This window comes from Homo sapiens, chromosome 8, assembly GCF_000001405.40.
Source record: "Homo sapiens chromosome 8, GRCh38.p14 Primary Assembly".
In the NCBI taxonomy this organism is placed as follows: Eukaryota; Metazoa; Chordata; class Mammalia; order Primates; family Hominidae; genus Homo; species Homo sapiens.
The window spans coordinates 61,677,728-61,696,431 of record NC_000008.11 but is presented as its reverse complement, the minus strand read 5'-3'; the positions used below and the strand labels follow the sequence as shown (position 1 = coordinate 61,696,431).

Genomic DNA, 18,704 nt, shown 5'->3' with positions numbered 1-18,704 from the left:
CAGAGGTGTGGGCTAGGGCAGTAGCTCCTTAGCTGGGTATTCTAAAGGATAGTAAAGGTTCCAAAAATACCTGGAGGCTGATATAAATGGGTATTGCTGATATTTCACTTTCGTTTACTAATACTGATGAAAATGCAAGCAGCTTTCTCAATTTTGTTTTCCTAAGTTCTAAAACTCATGGCGCCCCTTGTCATTCTTCCAGCCATGGTGCCTTTCTACACAGGGACAGTCAAGAGAGCAGCATCTGGTGTTTGCCAGGACAGGTGGAGGAGGCTACAGAGCCTGTCCTACCTGGCCCCACTCATGTACAGCCCATGTGACAGTCATCCAAGATCAATCAGGGAGGAATTCACCTGAGATAGAACTGTGAAAACTTGGTGAAGGGACGAATCTGAGTCTGAAATCAGAGTCTAGAAACCACTGGGCTGCTTTCTGAATTTCTCTCTCTTAGCTATTTGTAGGTCTTTTCCTCTAGTGAATTAATTTTAGGATCATTAAATTCATGGAGATGGGGAAACCTGAAGTGACTTGACAGCCCAAACAACTAAGCAATAAGTTGCTCCCTTATTTCTAAAGTGTTAGCAGAAGAAGTTTGATTACTCATACCATATCAAGGATTTGGGAAGGAATGTATCCACTTATTTCACAAGTGATTATTTTATTGAGTTCCTAGTAGATAGATCCAAGGGAAGTGTACAGTAATGAACGTGGCAGATTCAGTTCCTTGTTGCATGAAACTTACATTCTGGAGGTGGAAAGAGATTAAGAAATCAGTTGTTGTATAGTTGTCTAAGTAGCAGTGTAATAACGTGGTAAAGAGGTGCACACTGCTGTGAGAGTAAGGGAAGTGAGGAAGGCTTCCTTGAGGAGGTGGTTTGTAAGCAGAGTGAGCTGGCAATAGCTGGGGTGTGGGGGTTGTATGTGATGGTGCAGCTTTGACATGGGAAAAGGGAAAAGTCTGGGCTGAGAGCCCGAGACAGGAAAGACCATGGTCAGGTATTTTGGGCAGGTGTCTAGGCAGCTAGGGGGGTGACACAACACTAAGACTGGAGCCACGGGCTGGGGCCCCATCACATGGAGCCTTCCTTGTAGGCCACATGGAAGATGTTGTATTTTATCTCGAAAGCAGTATTAAGACATTAAAGGATTTTTAACAGGTCAGTGCTATAATCAGATTTAAAAAATATTTTGTCTGCTGTATGGAGTAGAAAAGTGTATGCTAAGTTATTGAAATCACCTAGGAGATGATGATAACTTGGATTTTGATGATCACAGTTGAAAGAACGTTGGAACTTGAGACAGAGTTTCTCACTTTTTAATGTCATGGCACACGCAAATGCTTTTAAAAACTATGCTGTGGTAAATGGACAAGGGTGACCCAGGTGCTGAGGAGAATCCATATCTTGGCCTCGTTGTAATCACCCGTTTGCAACAGCCAGATGATAAACTCAATTTTGAGAGGTGAGTTTTTGGGACAAAAGTCAAGGATGAATCCTGGTGTTTTTGTCTAAGCAACTGGCTTCACAGAAGTGCTTCTGAGATTTAGGACACTGAACAGGAAAGGGGAAAGACCATGGTTTATTGTGTATATGCGGAATTTGAGGTTTTTGTAAGTCATTCAAATGGGATATTGAGTAGACACATGGTTGTGGAGCTCAAAGGAGAGAAAAAGGTAAGTCATGTAGATGATAGCTGAAGTGAACTAGAGAGGTGGCATAGGAACAAGTATTACAGAATTTTCACACTTAAAAATCAACTAGATGAGAGTGAGCTAGCAAAGGAGACTGAAAACTACGAAGTTTAAAGAGGTGTTAGGAGTGCCACAAGATTCTGAAGTCATGAGAGTCGAGGGAAGAGAGTGTGGAAGAAGGAGGGAGAGTTCTGCTGAGAGGGTCAAGTCAGATGAGGACTGAAAGTTTTGCGTTGGGTTTAATGACATGGAAATCATTGATGTGACATTAGAGCCACTATGCTGGAGCCGTGTGCAGAAACCAGATGGAAGCCTACAGGTTGTAAGGAGTGAGTGGGAGGTTAGAAAATGAAAACAGAGAAACAGCGGCTCTGTGGAGAATTTCATCTGTGATGGGAAGAGCAAGATGACATGGGGGCTAGCAGCGGGATGGAGGGAAACCTGGCAAAGGCAGTGAGGCTGGGGGAGAAGGGGCGAGAAGAGACAGTGCAGAGTGCGAGGTAGCTGAGGAGAAACTCGGAATGGATGCAGGCTAGGGCAGGTTTGTGTGCTGGGCATTGGGCACTCAGGATAGCTTCCTGCTGAGGGTTCTGTTTTCTCTGTGAAGTATGAGGCTATGGCAGTTTGAGTATGAGGAGGTAGGATACATTGGGGGCAGAGAAGTTTGACATAGTCATCATAAAGAATGGCAAGGTGAGTTTGTAGAGAATATGGGAGGGTGGCAGGCAGCACCGAGGCCCAGCTGAGGCTGGCTCTGCTGTGTTCAGTTCCTGATCTTGATTCCGTGAGCCCAGCTGCCCTTGCCTCTGTGGCGGGGGATACTTGTGTTCACCCAGGGAGGCAGTCACGGCAGTCCACGCAGTGAACTGATAGAGGAGCAACAAAGGCTCATGAGTCGCTGGAGTGATGTAAATGGTCAACTGTGGAGTCTAAGATGGCCACTGATGGATATGAAGGCAGGAGGTGAAGAGGGGATATGCAGGAAGCAGAAATAAGAGAACTACAGGATCCAAGAAGAAAATGTTGAGGAAACAAAGTGGAGATGTAGGAAGTTGTGATCAAAGAGTGAATGTTCCCATTCTGTGCGTCGTGTGGTGAGAGAACCTAAACCCTTGCATGTGGAGGTGGCCTTCCCCAGTGGTGGTGGCCGTGGGAGTCTGTCTAAGCAGGTTTGACTTGTGTCTGCAGAGTTGCATTTTGTTATTTGGTAATACTGGTTGTTTAGTGTTAGTTTGAAAATGTTATAATTCTCTCCTGTTAACTTTGGGTACGATGTGTAGATGAAAAAAAATTTGTTTTTGTTTTAAAGAATCATATTTTCACTATCTTGTGACACTTTACAGTCATTATGATGGAGCCAAAAAAGCAGAGCCTTCTTAGCAGGGTTACGGAATCTGTTAGGATGGCCGCTTGTGTCATCCAACAAGAAACAAGGTGTGAAGAGGAACATGAATTAGGTTGCGTTTATGATGAGGTCCATGGTAAGAATGTAAGAATGAGTGTTGGATATAAAATGGAGGCGAACAAGGTCTCTGGGGATGAAGAAATGAAGCAAAAAGCACCTGTCTAGCTGGCCACAGGGATAGACATTGAAATCACATGGTTACGGCTGGACTTGGGGTGTAGAAGACTTCCCTGAGCATGGGGTGGGAGTGGGAAAGTCACTGGAGGTGGTGGATGACAGCAATGAGGCACAGTGGAGGGTTGGATAATTAGATGTCATAGACCACAGAGGAGCAGGGAGCAGGGTTTTGTTGTTGATGTCATCGTTTTCTTTTTTTCTTTTTTTTTTTTCCTTCTGGTGGGTAAGGAAATGATGGTCTGGAAATTGGTAAAAGCAAGAACTACTTCCCTTCCTTGAGACCCTGAGAATTAGGGACCGCTGGTATAGTATTCTTTGTATGTGGTCCCTAGACCAGCAACATCAGATCATCTGGGACTTAGCAATGCCAATTCCAGGGTCCCACTCCAGACCTACAAAATCAGAAACTCTGGGGTTAAGGTCGGCATCATGTCTTAACAAGCCCTGTTTGACTCTGACGTGCTCAGAGTTTGAGAACCATTGCTGTAATGATAGCTGATCCGGGGTGAGGGGAAGGAAGTATTCAGTGCTGACTCATGAGAAGGCTGATGGATTTTCACCTGGAAGGTTTTTGGAGGGAGGTAGAACCCTCGACTCAGTGGGCATATGTCCTGGCTCCCCTGGTTGCGAGTGGCATTAGGCTGATACTAATGGTCTCAGAACACACGTTGGAAGTTTGGTCTTTGCTTAGACTTGGAGTTGCTATTAGTACCAGTAGCTGTTACAAGGAATAGTTAACTTAGTGTCATTTTAGTTGCGTTTGCTAAAGTTTTAAAAACATGATTTACTATATGCAAATTAAGTTTATTTTTAAACTTTTCATAAACATTCTCCATCATAAAAATGAATTGTCATTATAAGAGGCAGTTGTTCAGAATTCAGAATTTATTGTTCTTTAAAAAGTGTTATGATAGATTAAATGATATTTCAGAGGGTTTTCTCCTGATCTCCATATCTAAAATATCAGGTATGTCATTGTCATTGTGAACTGAGGAGGAAAGACATTTTTATCAAAATAACTATTCAATTATTGCAAAAGACAAAAGATTAACTAGAGGACTTGTGAAAGTGCTTGATAAAGATTTGTCAAGGAGAAATAATTGGAGCTGTGTTGAAGAAGTCTTGGGGTAAGGTATAATCACATTTTAATAGCTGTGATTCCTACAGTTTGACGTTTAGCTGTAGACATTCTGTAATTTGGAGTGGAGCTGACCTTGCACAGGCCAGTAAAGAGAGGAGAAGAAACCCTACCAGCTCCAGCAGTTGCAGGGGCAGATGGGATTATGAAACGAGCTCTAAATTGGGGGTAAGGTTATTTATGCACTAGTCACGATTGAATCAATAGAAGTTTGTTTCACTGATGACTCCAACAAATATTTGCATGCCTAGTTTGTGCGGAGACCCATTTTATAAGCAAGGAAATTCAGGCCTAGAAGTTTGATGACTTCCCCCAAATCAAATTTAATGGAGAAGCCGTGAAGCAAATCCAGGTGTCTAAGTATGAAAGCATACCAAGCTGCCTGCTGGATCAGTGTAGGGGTTTGGTTTCTAGTGGTCTCACCCATGGGGGTATCGTGTTGCTGTCATTCTCCCTCCAAAAACAACACAATGAAAGGAAGCTTCCAGAATATTTGTCTTAATAAATTTGTATGGTGACGAAATGGTGGGTCACCTTAACCCCTGTCAACAAGTGATTCATTATCATTTAACAATTTAGCAAGCACTAAGTTTAGTGGGACAGATCTTTGAAGAAAATAATGGGGGAAAGGACGCTTGGCCAGAGGGCACCTGAGACCATTTTGTTTAGTTGGCCATGATGTCTACCTACTTCACTCTGTCCTAAACCTGGACCATCAAATGTTGGTACCATAGGTTGCAGACTATGGTACCAACCTCTTAAGGCTTTATCTTACCATGCATTCAATAGTTTCACTGGACAGAAACTGATCTTCCCTTTGAGACTAGGCACACCATATTTACAAAGTGACATATCAAGAGTATATTGTTTGCTTTTGATAAAAACTGCCCCTAAAACAGGCATCTGAGGAAAGAATCCCTTCTATAATTTAGTGTTTTGTTCCTTTTTGGAACTAGTAAATATCAATAGTAGTAAGGTTAATAATACTAGAGTAACACCTCATTTATTTGATATTATAAAAGGATAGATAAAATATTGCTAATAATTTAATATTGTAGTTAACATTTAGCTTTGAATATATGTGTTTCAGTGTACACACACACACACACTCTCAGACGGATTTAATTTTTATGGCCCTTTTTGAAAAATTGATCTAGTGGTGTATTTTTTAAAAATGTGCATATCCTTTTAACAAGAATTTCATTTTTTCTTCCAGAAGAAATATTGGCAATATATTCTTGCCGTAAGCCACTGGAAATTACTAGTAGTATTCAAAGCTTTTAAATTTTTAATTTGCTTGTGAAGCTTTAAATTTGAGTGAAAAATTTAGTCTTATAAACAACTTAGAAAGGTTGCTGCCTGCTCTAGATACTATTTGTGCTAAATTAATTTAGTATACTAATCAGAACTCTAATGAATTCTGTGAACTGCTAATGTTAGATCAGTGAATAAATGGCTGATTTTATTTCCCAGAAGAGAATGTTTGGAGATGAGGTTGGGGAGAAGTTGAAAAAAAAAATCAGAATGTGGTTGTGTAATCTTTTCCTAGTTCCCTTTCAAGATGATCTTTCCCAGGTCATTATTCTTACTCCTGAAGATTTTTCTTTCCCTCTCCTCACCTCCCAGCCTTCCTTCTATTTCTTTCCTTCCCACCAGTCCTCTGTCCCTCCTTTTCTAGTGAAACATTTTATGTTGGTGCTTTATTTTTGCTGTTGGAGGAATTATTCCTGGGATGGTGTCTGTGAGTAAGAATTCTAGAGCATTGATTAATTTCTTACTATGTATGGTTTTGTTTCATTCAAGCAATCTAATGGTCTTTCCTTGTAGCCATTTTATTAGATTCTGAAGGGCCAAATCAAACTGTTTCTGGGCTTGGGGCCATATTTTATAGCAAGACTTGTTTGAGTTTTCAATGAATTGGTGCTTAAGCTAAAGCCGTTAAAGCCTGCTTCCAAGAAAACAAAACTGGCAGCACAGTTTGTTCCATTTCATTTTTTTTCAGCATGCTTGATTTTTTAGGGGTTGGAGTTAGCTAGGACCAACTGGGAAAAGAATCCCGTAAGTGGGAGAAAGGCTGTGGTGTTGTTAGGGAGTGCACTTCAGCCTAAGTGGTGATTAGCAGCATTTAGCCTCTAAAAATAACTGGTGAGCAGAGTTTGTAGTCAGGTCCAATTTCAGTTCTAGAGGCCCTTACAGTGCAGGGATTGGCCAGTCTCAAGCTCTGGTAGGCAAGTGCATGCAGTGTGCCTAAAACCTGCCAGCAGTACTTTTGAGTTTTTTTTTTTGTTTTGTTTTACTTTAGCATTTATTATTCATGGATTGAAGAAATCAAAATGGCTGAAGATAAAGGTATATTTTTGTTATTTAGGCTAAAAGTGGCTTTAGATCTAGCTGACAGCTTTTCACTTTATTTTCAGTGGTGCTCTGTTAAAATATTTTTGGCTAAGTGCTTTGACTGTACTGTCTACATTTTCTATTTTGAACTCCTGGAGATACTGACTTTTCATAGTAGCTGAATATTTCATTGAATAATCTGTCTTTAATCCGAATATGTTTTAGTGTCTTAATTTAGATGACCTTTTAGTATGTTGTACTACTGGAGGCTGCATTTTACAAATTTCAAAAAATGTACAAGCTCTCTTCTTATTCTTATAAGTTAATTACAATGAATTTAAAGAATTATCTATATTTAGATTTTATATAAAATTATAGGAGATATAAATTCAGTCTCATATTAATGAACAGACTTACCTGGTTCAAGCAAGGACTTACCATTTATGGAAAGTGACCTACTTTTATGTGAAGCAGACAATAAATGCAAAGAAAAAACACAAGGGTTTTATTTTGATTTTAAATTGACTCTTTAACTTTGAAGTATTCTTTAACTATGTATTGAATTTAATGTTTTGTATATATTTGCTTTTGCTTTACTTTGTAAATTAAGATAGTCTTTCCATTAATTGAAAGACTGCATTCACTCATTATGTTGAAGATTTATAAAAGAAAAGAATAGATGTATGAAAACTGCTTCTAACTCTCAGCTGTCTAATCAGCAACTGAAAGGATTCTTTGATTAGGATAGAGAATATAAGCATGTACTATGTGAATATTATTTGAATAATTGGTGAGAATGGGTCACTTGACTCGTCTGATAAAGTGCTTCATGTAGCCATGAAGAAGAATATGAGATATGTATCTGACTTTTAGTTCTTTTGGAAGACATTTCTCTCCTCTTGTGGATTAGGTAATCCATGTAGTTAGGAAAAATCAGCTGTTGCATCTGATGCACTTTTAACAGTTTTTGATTCCCAAAGGGTGACATTTTATAGCATGGAAAAATAATCAGTTTGATGAGTTGCTTGACAGTTTTTGTGTTTTTCAAAAAACTTTAAATGTGTAGAGTTTATGTGTAAATATGAAATTCCCAACATAATGCTAACTAAAACTTATAAATGATCTATAATTCAGTTAGTAGTAGGCCAGTGAAGTAGCTGGTGACTGTTCAAGTGCTGGGGTTCATCTTCTTGTCTCCCTTTCCTCAACCAAATAAATAAAACTACACATTGCCCTTCCCCCGGCTTTTGTTTTGGAGAGTCTTCATTTTGGACTGTTGCTTGCCATAGTAATTTCTGTGTTTGGTGGTATGTGGGAACATTTTCTGATTTGGAGGTCATGTACTTTTGATGGAATAACATGGGAAAAAATGAATCGCATCGTTCTTGCAGTATTCTTAAACCCCAGTAAAAATCCGCTTTGACTGATCCCAGAACTACAGGTTGAACATGAAGCCAGAAAATGAAATGAAGACTTAGATTTATTCTGATCTTAGAAAATAGGGACATCTACTAGATGTTCTTCCCAAATACCTTTGGAACAAGATACTGGTTTCAGATTTGCTTAGGGAGTTGTAAACCCTCTTAAGGGTTTGTCTTACCATGCGTTCATCAGTTTCATTGGACAGAAACTGATCTGCCCTTTGGGACTAGGCACAGCATATTTACCAAATGACATATCAAGAGTATATTGTTTGCTGTCGATAAAAACTGCCCCTAAAAAAGGTGTCTTAAAAAAGAATCCCTTCCATAACTTAGTATTTTGTTCCTTTGTGGAACTAGTAAATATCAACAGTAATAAGGTTAATAATACTAGAGTAACAGCTCATTTATTTGATATTAAAAAGGGATATATAAAATATTGCTGATAATATATTCTAGTTAAGAAACATTTAGCTTTTAAAGTGATAAATCTCTTTACTACAAACTACTTTGAATGAAAATCTTCCTAAGATTTATTATACATTTCTTCTATGTTTTAATGGCAGAATCAATGTGAAACCAGTTACTGTCTTGTACTGAAGATTATTTGAAGGACTGTCAGGGATTCTGCCTGAAAGTTTCATCATAAATGACTTCCCACCACTCAGCTTTTCTGACTTCCTGGGCCTGCTCTTGCTGAGAGATCTGTGCACTCGATAGGCTTTTCCTCTGTCACCACTCTGTTGCTTTGACTCATTGGGTTAGATTGTGTCTGAAATGTAGAGTTTTGTGCATAGAGCTAGAAAACTTAATTGAAGTTGTTAGAATCACATCTAAAATAAAAATGTAAACAAATTCTAGGTAAAGGTGTATTTTTTACTGTGTTTGGCTGTCTCCTTCCCATCTGAATCCCTTGCTGTTTTGGTGCATGCATTCATTTTTTAGAAAAAATATTTTGTCTACTTTTCCCTTATATTTAGTGTTACAGTCAATAACTTAAATGAGTATCACTGAGTTAACTTGGATAAATGATAATTTCCTTTTCAGAATCTCAGAAATTTTTCTCCTCCATTTCCCTTTAAGAGAGATAGAAATGGAGAAATGATTAAAATTTGAATTCAAACTATTACTTTGTTTTATTAGCTATTTCATTATAGACTTTTTAATTTTTTTTTTAAGAAAGGGTCTTGCTTTGTTGCCCAGGCTGGAGTATAATGGTGCAATCATAGCTCACTGCAGTATAGGCTTATTTTAAATAATATCATCTTGGGTATCTGTTTGGCCACATACTCATTATAAAAACTTAATTATTGGGTAAAATTATCTGATATTCATGTACTGAATAAAAATGTTGGATGAATGAAAAGATGAACTATATTTGTTTAGCCTTGCTGTTTTCCAGTTAATGAGGAAAAATACAAGAGACTGGTATCAGCTACAGAATGTTCAAGAGGACATAAGACAAGAACCCAGTTTTACTGAAGTTTTAGCATTCCTTTTGCCAAAAAAAAATTCAATTTGATTCTTAGAGGCAATAAGTAGCAAAGGCAGGAAATTCTTAGTCATTAGCTACTATAATTCCATATTTAGAGTATGTGGATATTTTGGAAGGTAGTATTTTTGTTAAACTTAGTGTTGTACGCAAATGGATTTGTACGCATATGTCTGTATGTTATATAGAAATAAGCGTTCTTTTTTGGATACAGTGTTAGAAAATAAGTCTTTCTGTTTATAAAAATGTAGTGAATTAGACATACAAAACTGTTTCTGAATCTGTGGTGCTTCCTGACCTCACAGAAGCTTACTCACTTTCGTAAATCTTTTTTTCTTCAAATTTTAGTAGTGGTTTAATTTGTATTTTTCTTTTTATATGCTTACAACACATAAAAATTTTGGAAACCACCATTTCCCTCTACCAACATTGCAGACATTCTCACCCAATCTTCTCCTGCTATGGCTGTGTTTCAGGTAATGATACCTATTTGAAGTTGATTTAATCTGCAACAATAGGATCTATGCCCAGCAAGTATTTTTATTTAATACATAAATTACGTTTTTATATAGCCAGCTTTTATATAGATCACATTAGAAACAAAGTTGATGGCCATTTGTCATTTGGTAAGCATACTTTATGAATTTACCATATTATTTACAACTCTGGTTCTGAGGGATCCATTAATATTTAAAGAATGTCAGAAAAAGGAATTACTTGACGTTTTAAGAATTACCCAGCACTTTGAGAGGCTGAGGTGGGCAGATCACTTGAGGTCAGGAGTTCAAGACCAGCCTGGCCAATATGGTGAAACCCTGTCTCTACTAAAAATACAAAAATTAGCCAGGCGTGGTGGCAGGTGCCTGTAATCCCAGTTACTCAGGAGGCTGAAGCAGGAGAATCCCTTGAACCGAGCCGAGATCATGCTAGTGCACTACAGCCTGGGTGACAGAGGGAGACCATGTCTCAAAAAAAAAAAAAAATTTATCTACATGTAGGCATGTAGATAAATATATGTATATGTTTGAGTGTACATATATATACTCAGATGGATTTAGTTTTTATGGCCCCTTTTGAAAAACTGATCTAGTGGTGTATTTTTAAAAAATGCATATATCCTTTTAACACAAAGAATTTCATTTTTTCTTCCAGAAGAATATATTGGCAATATATTCTTGACTTGAGCCGCTGGAAATTACTAATAGTATTCTGTAATTAGAACTGGACTTAGAAGTCAAAGGGCAAGTTCTAGATTAGAGCTAGTGGGGTTTTTTGAAATCGTGTAATTTGGCCCACTGATTAGAGATTAAGGAACTCAGAGCTGTAGAGATGAGAGTATGTTCTTAGTTCTACCCAACTTGTACTGGTGACTTTGGGAGAATCATTTCATGTTTCACTTATAAAACAGATAATTATTCCTGTCCTTCTTCCTGTTGGTTCTCACCCAGGAACTGCCCCTGAAGGGAACATGTGGAAATGTCTGGGGATGTTTTTTTTGTCATAAGCCTTGACAGCTCCTTGCCTTTGAGTCCAGGGGAAACCAGGGATGCCAGAAATCTTGCAATGTGAGGAACAGGTGCACAGGATGAAACATTGTCCTGCATAAACATCCAGAAATGCCCTCTGTAGAAATAGTGGCAGGACACCGTGAGGATCACCGGCAGCAAAGCACATGAAAGCACTTTGATGGCGACTCTACCTGCCACACAAATGGGAGACACCGCCCTGGCCTTCCATCATCTGTTTGATAAACTTTTCCTCTTCTCAGAAGGCATTTTGGGATATTATTTATTCTTTTTATTTATTAATATTGATATATGTATTATATTCCTTTTTATGGGAAATTTGAATATTGTATATCTTTTTAAGGGCAGTGTTGACTATTTTCTGTTAATATCAAATCATTTTTGTTTATTTTTGGCTGTAAGAAGAATATTTACAAAAGAATATAAGGTATATTAAGCATATCAAATGCGATAAATGACACTTTAGGTGGACAGCAGTTTACAAAGCTGTTTCCTGCAGTGAGACCAATTGTGAATGAGCCTTTTCCTGTTTCCTTAGGCCTCAACGGATCTTGTAAAGGAGTAGGAATGGATTGTGCTGTTTCACTTTTCTGTCCTTTTCTCTCTGGCTAAGAATATGGAATGGTTTAGGGGGAGATATTTTCTTCTGTGTGTTAACAGAGTTTTTAAGATTCTGCAGAAATGAAATGGGACGGAGAAAAGGATTTGGCTACATTTTTATGTGATTTCATTAAGTTGTTTATGTGCTCTGCCTTTGGAAAGAGGTAATATTCAGGTCATTTTGATGAGTAACTTGGATGGAATATACATATTATACTAAATCTTTAAAAAAATTCAGGAGTTTATTTCCTGCACTACTTCAAAGTTAGTGTTGCATCTAAACAATCTTTTCTGTTTTCAGAAATATTTTGTGTGACGTGTTTTGAGAATTTAACTGGAAACTGTTTTTGAAATGATCTATCATTGTACATAATCCCAAATTATTGGAGAAATAATTGTGAGAATAAGTGTTCAGTAAAATGTTTTCTTCTTATGATATCTTACATTTATTTCTAAACAGAGACAAAGCATGGAGGACACAAGAATGGGAGGAAAGGCGGACTCTCAGGAACTTCATTCTTCACGTGGTTTATGGTGATTGCATTGCTGGGCGTCTGGACATCTGTAGCTGTCGTTTGGTTTGATCTTGTTGACTATGAGGAAGTTCTAGGTAAGAATTTTGATATCCTTATGTGAATTTGTAAGAGAGTAAGTGACATCTCTTAGGAGTCTTGAATATTTGTTATCATCTTTCTGGTACTGGTAATTTCTATAGCCTTTCAGTGGTTCTCAATAGAGTGAGGCTGAAAGGGGATATGAAGAAGGTTACCTTGGAGTATTGTCTTTTGAACTCTTTAAATGTGACCTGTAGGTTTTTGAAAAAAGGCTTTATATTGTATGTCTGTCACACAGGGAGAAGTTTTATCAAACAGTACTCATTCTCACTATATGCAGTACTTTTTGATTTCTATTCAATTTTGTTATATTATAAATTTTAAAAATACTTGATCATGAGCCATTACATTTATTTAAGGACTTGCTAATGGATCATAACCACACAATATGCAAAACTCTTCCTTAGAGAGGGTTTTCAAAGTACACCCTTCTGTGTCTCTGTTGGGATGGGATGAGTACGTGTGCACACATATAGGTACTGGATGGGTGTGCTGAGATAGGCGTTTGTAGATATTATTGTGTGTGTGTAGGTGTGATCTGTGTGCTGTTCTGAGGAAGTTGCTGTGGTCCTTCTGATAGTGTCCTTTCTCCACCTTTTTCCTTTTCTGTAATCACTGAAGTTTTTCATGATTTTTTACATTAATGATTCTTTGTTATTTTTGGAGTCACATTCTCCTTCACTTCCCCAAAAATCTTTTTTTAAACTGAAATAAAATTCAATATTATATATATTTGAATGTGTACAATTCAGTTTTTTTTTACTATATTCATCATTTTATATACCCATCAGCATTATCTAGTTCCAGATTATTTTTGTTACCCCCTTCCCCTAAATACCCAAACTCTTCCTCTTTCCCTCTCCTGGGAAACACTAATCTACTTTCTGTGTCTGTGCTTTTGTTTATTCTGGGCATTTCATGTAATGGAACCATACATTATATGATCTTTTGTATCTGCCTTTTTGCACTTAGCATAATGTTTTTAAAGTTCAGTACTTCATTTTATGGCTGCATAATATTCCATCATATGGGCACACCACATTTTGGTTATCTGTTTATCAGTGATGGACATTTGGGTTGTTTCCACTTTTTGGCTGTTGTGAATAATGGTCCTCCTCTTTAGTAATCCAGTGAAAGATGTGGACCTGTCACTGGAAAAAATGCACACTTGTGTCTATGTACAATGTTGCATGGGTGATATCCCCTTGCATTGGACTTCCTGTGCTTCTGCTTTACTTGTCAAATTATAGACATATTTTTGGGGAGAAAGGGCAAACAAATTTTTGGCTGTAGGAATAACAAAATATGCTTATTTGTAATCTGTCTTTCATTGAAGTTTTTCATTTTCATTACTTTAAAGAAAGTGTCTCTGGATAGATTGACAGACCAACTGAGGGAGAATTTTAGTCTGGAGACAAATTTCTGAGTAGATCTATGCTTTGACTGACTTACAGTGATATGTTGTTAGGGAATGTATCTTAAAAGAGGACACTTTAAGTATTTGTACCTTTAAGCACAAATAACAGTTTTCATGTTTTTACATGCATGCAGCCAAAGCAAAGGACTTCCGTTATAACTTATCAGAGGTGCTTCAAGGTAGGCTATTGGAGTTGCATTTCAAGTCTACGTGTGTTACTCTCTAATGGCTCATCCTTTTTCTACTAATTTAATTATTATCTACATCAGAATATAAGTGATAGGACCAATTTCCCATTATGGGTTTGTCAGAAAGGGTAGTATTTTCTATCTTTTACTGTTTCTTGAATTCTGTACTCTGCATAGCCTTGATTAGTACTTTTTGTTTTCTTAGCAGTTGAAATAACATCCTTATCTCTTCTTTCATCATAATCATTTTAAATGTGTATGTGTTTGCTAAGTCAGACTTCTATATAGCAAGTTAACCATTTTCCTAGGTAGAGCAAGGGCTCTGGGGAGATAAAGATTGATCAGAACTAATCTGAGCCAAAATTTCTGCCTGTTCTTCTGTAATTTTTTAATGTACTTTGTGTTAAAGAAATGATAACAATTGCCAAAATTTTTTTTTAGTACTAATGCTGTATTTGAGAAAGCTGTTTAAAAAATTGCTGTACATTAACATTATTATGTTTCTCCACAGTCATTGTCCAATAATGAATTAGAATCATGTAGATTTTAGGATGCTTTTTTAGGGAGTTGAATATATTTGACTTTTTGAAATGCTAAACAAAATAACAGTGTTCCTTATGATAAAGCACTAAAGCCTAAAAACGTTTTCTGTTCATCAGGAGGAAAGGTTTTGGTAGTATTGTCTTCTCAGCATATCTGTTTTAAGCCCTTTTTTTCTTAGTATAGATTGCCTGTGCTGATTAAGTTAAGTAGAATAATCATAAGTTTTCCTTTATAATTTCCGAAGCCTCCAGTTTTATATACTTTATTTCCAGAATGATCTTTTATTTTTAAAGGTTAATTCATGATATTTCTGTTATAAGTCATCATTGTAAAATATAAAATTAATGATTTTTTAGTTTTTAGTACTTAGATTCTATGTTAATCTATTTACATTTGGTCTTTATTTGAGGCTTGGTTGTTTCTTTTGGTTCAGATATTGATAGTGTGATGAAATTTCATGCTTTAGAAACATTAAATTTCAAGTGACTTAGGAATGCATCAATATTATTTCATATATGCTAAAAACTTTACCAAGAATATTTTTAGCAGTATAATAAAAATTATTCTGAACTAATTAGATCAGGATGTTGTTCAATCTTTAAAGATAATGCTGTGTCAGTTTTATTTCATAGCATTTATTAGCTGAACATTTCCTGACTCTCTTAACTGAATTGCTCGCTATTTTTAGGTAAGATATTCATTTGACACTGCTTTGCAGGATTAAAAGAGCAAAGAATTGTATTAATTGGTAACATTTATGACTGAGTTGCATGACTTCACTAAGTTATAATACCTTATTAAATTTCTTTTCTTTTTTATTCCCATATCCATCATTTCTGCCCTATTATAGGAAAACTAGGAATCTATGATGCTGATGGTGATGGAGATTTTGATGTGGATGATGCCAAAGTTTTATTAGGCAAGTACACATTTTATGTTTTTTGTTAGTGGTGATAAAATGCTGGAAACAATTATTTTTGCTTTAATAATATCTATCTCAATAGTATATATCTTACAGGAGACTTTTCTCCCTTAAATCATATATTTCATTACTGTTAAAATTTTAAATGGCTTATTTTTCCACACTCTTTCATGTCAATTTACTTTTATCAATGAATAAGTGTATATCTCTTACACATATATCTTTTGATAAGTATAATAATTTCATGTGTGTTTCCAGATTTAAAGTACTTCTTATTCTGAACTTAGAATTTGAATAGATAATATCCTAGTCTGTTTTTAGATATGGTAATTATAGCCATTTTTCATTAACATTACACATTCACTTCCATTTCAAAATGTAAATTTCTACAGGCTTACATAAATTAATGATGAAATAAAAGTGATAATAAACATCTTAAAATGTCCCATGCATATTTTAACGGTAGCATTAAAATATGAACTCCTGGTCTTTTGACCCAGTGTCTTTATTTTGGAAGTCTTGGACCCTTCTCTTTCATTATCAGAATTACTTGTCTTTATCAGAGATGTTTCTTGTAATAAATAACAATGTGGTATTCCCTTATTTGTTTTAAAGTGCTGTCTTGCTGGAAAGAATGGTGTTAATTTCAATATGCAAATTTTATATAATCTGGCCTGGTGAGACTTCCTTTGCTTTTGTATGTAGCATAATATATGTTAAAACTTTTTATATAAGAGTCTTTAGAAAAATAATGGATATGGCATGATATTATACACTAAGCTTATAAAATAATGACCCAAACAAATTCTTCTTAGTTAACATTGTTTTGTGTATATTTATTAGATATGAAAACATGGTAGGATGCCACATCTGTAACTAGTGAAACTGCTTTTAGTAGATTAATTCCACCTCCTTATGAAATAAAGTTCCAAATATGAAAATAGAGTTTTAGTTGTGATTAAAGGTAATAAACCTTCCTAATGTTGACCTGTGTTGGTGTTTTTTGTTTTTTTTTTTTTTTTATTATTGCCCATTGGGAATTAGTGTTTGTGCATTGAAACTTATTATGAAATTTCTTTTCTTGTCTTAACTTTAATGAAATTTTCAATGTAGTCCTGTCATTGTGTATCTATATTTGAGTTTCTCTAAATATATTAAATCCTCAGATGACTATAATCTTAGGCATGTAAAAGAAACAAAATTATGTAGAACTTATCAGAATGATGTTAATTTGCTTGCCTATAAATGGTTTATTACTTCATTATATTACTTTAAATGACACATTCTGAATAGCAAAGCTTTTTATTTTAAAGATAAAATAAAATGTGGGCCAAGTTCCCTCATTTTTAGAAATAATATTACTCTCATCTACTGCATTTTATTGATTTTTATTTGTTTGTTTGTTTTTGCTTAAAACCAGCTATGTGGTCTGTCAGGAAATGCCATTAGAAATTAAAATGTGGTATTTCTTTGATAAAACACACTGATTTCTATAGCAAACTATTACCTTAACTTGATTTTTAGTGTATTTGAGATTTCAAAAGGTCATCCCCTTTAAGTTTTTTAACCTACCATTAAGAAGCTAATTAATTGTAACTTTGAATATTGCTGTTTGCAGGTATAGTGTGAGGAACTCATAAATTGTGCCATTTATAAGAATTATACACTTGGAGGTGGAACTAAATTTGGTGAATATCAAGGTTTATTTTGGTAACTTTACTAATAAATGCATAAAGACAGATCAGATAAAGCTACATAAATACTTTTTTACTCTTCCTGTACTAGTTTGCAGTTGGCTTGTGGCTTCAGTACAGATGAAACAAACCAAAGGTGAAATGTTAGGCTTACTTATCACCTCTAATCTTATTTCATAGCATTTGAGTTCTCTGCATGAAATGCAACCTTAACTTGAATTGAGTTTTATGACTGAAGTTCTTTTCTGGTTTGTGAGATTATTGTAGTTTAGTGGTGCCTCTGTTACTGGAAGGTTACTGCAAAGACAGCCTGGTGAAATTGTTGGGAGTACAGAGGCTTTAATGGGTTCTTTGAGGTCAGGTAGAGGTTATGGGGGGAGCACTACAGTGAGCATATACCCAAAATGAAGCCAGACTTCCAAGGTACGTTCTCACTGGAGAGGGAGCTTAATGGTAAAGTTTAAACTTTAAGGGTTTAGGTTTTAGATTAAGGCCCAGGAGATCCAAGGGGAAGGAGGAGGGTAGGAAATCAGAGATAAGAGGAGCTGTTGTCATCGCAGGTATAGTAATAATTAAGATATGTTAAACTTTCATAGGATTTTGCATTTATTTCATCAGTTTTTTTTTCTAGATTCTTAAATCTGCATATATCTAAATCTTATAAATTTGGGGAAATGTACACATTTACATGGTACATTTCACTCAATTTTAGAGTTTGGCTTTTCTTGTGAAATAGAATTAAATATATGTGAGTAAATCAAGACCCCTAACCATCATTAATTTTATTATTTGGTTATTTCTGGCCAAGGCCCTTCTGATTCTTTGAAAGCGTGCTAAGCCCATTTTTCTTCATTTACATACCTTCTTATTTTTGTGGCCAAATTAACTAAAATATAGGTATCTTTTGTTGTAGTTCAGATTATTGAAAACTACCTTGTTTGAAAATACATTCTTTAAAAACTTATTTTCCAAATAAAATCAACAGGAAAATGACCCAAGAACTAAATGATGCGAGGACTAAATCCTTAGAGTGACACCACCTAAGGATCATGTGGTTGTCCTTTTGTCCTATGGCTAGCACCTAGCTGGCATCGTATCAGGTATGGGTGGAAAGCAAAAGGGAAGCCAGTCAGCACTTGCTACATCCTGGAAAATCATTTGTAGACTGATAGATGCATGAGTGAGCTGATGGGAGGAGAAGACCAGATCTTGCCAAGCCAAAGGCATTCCCTTTGGTTGAGCCCTGTTCTTAGAGGTTCAGAAGGAATCACATGCCGAGAGTATATATTTTTCTCTCTGGACTAGTACTTTTGTCTTGAGAACCACAGGAAGGTTGCTTGGCTGGGTAAACAGTTTTGTTCAAATGCTTTTGCATATTCGTTGCATATGGTCATCTGTCATACTGAAGGATGGAAAAGTTTTATATGTAATACTTGGAAGTACTTATAATATATTGGCAAATGGAGAAAAGTAAAGATGTTTATACTAAATATGCAGCTATAGTGTTTTAAGGCAGGAAGAAGAAACTGTTATTCCCATAGGG

General features: G+C 36.0%; 1 protein-coding gene across 94 annotated transcripts in view; it reads left to right on the top strand.

The window, feature by feature from the left end:
• The window catches only part of ASPH (aspartate beta-hydroxylase), a 214,037-nt gene that overhangs the window by 18,161 nt on the left and 177,172 nt on the right, over positions 1–18,704 (top strand). For 54 of the 94 annotated variants that reach the window (NM_001413901.1, NM_001413909.1, NM_001413895.1 and 51 more), the window contains exons 2-3: positions 12,244–12,393; positions 15,396–15,464. In NM_001413901.1, coding sequence (NP_001400830.1) covers positions 12,244–12,393; positions 15,396–15,464 — 219 coding nt within the window. Of the gene's footprint in view, positions 1–6,620; positions 6,760–12,243; positions 12,394–13,948; positions 13,994–15,395; positions 15,465–18,704 lie in introns of those variants that run through there. The other 40 variants (NM_001413874.1, NM_001413865.1, NM_001413872.1 and 37 more) reach the window with 3 other exon arrangements.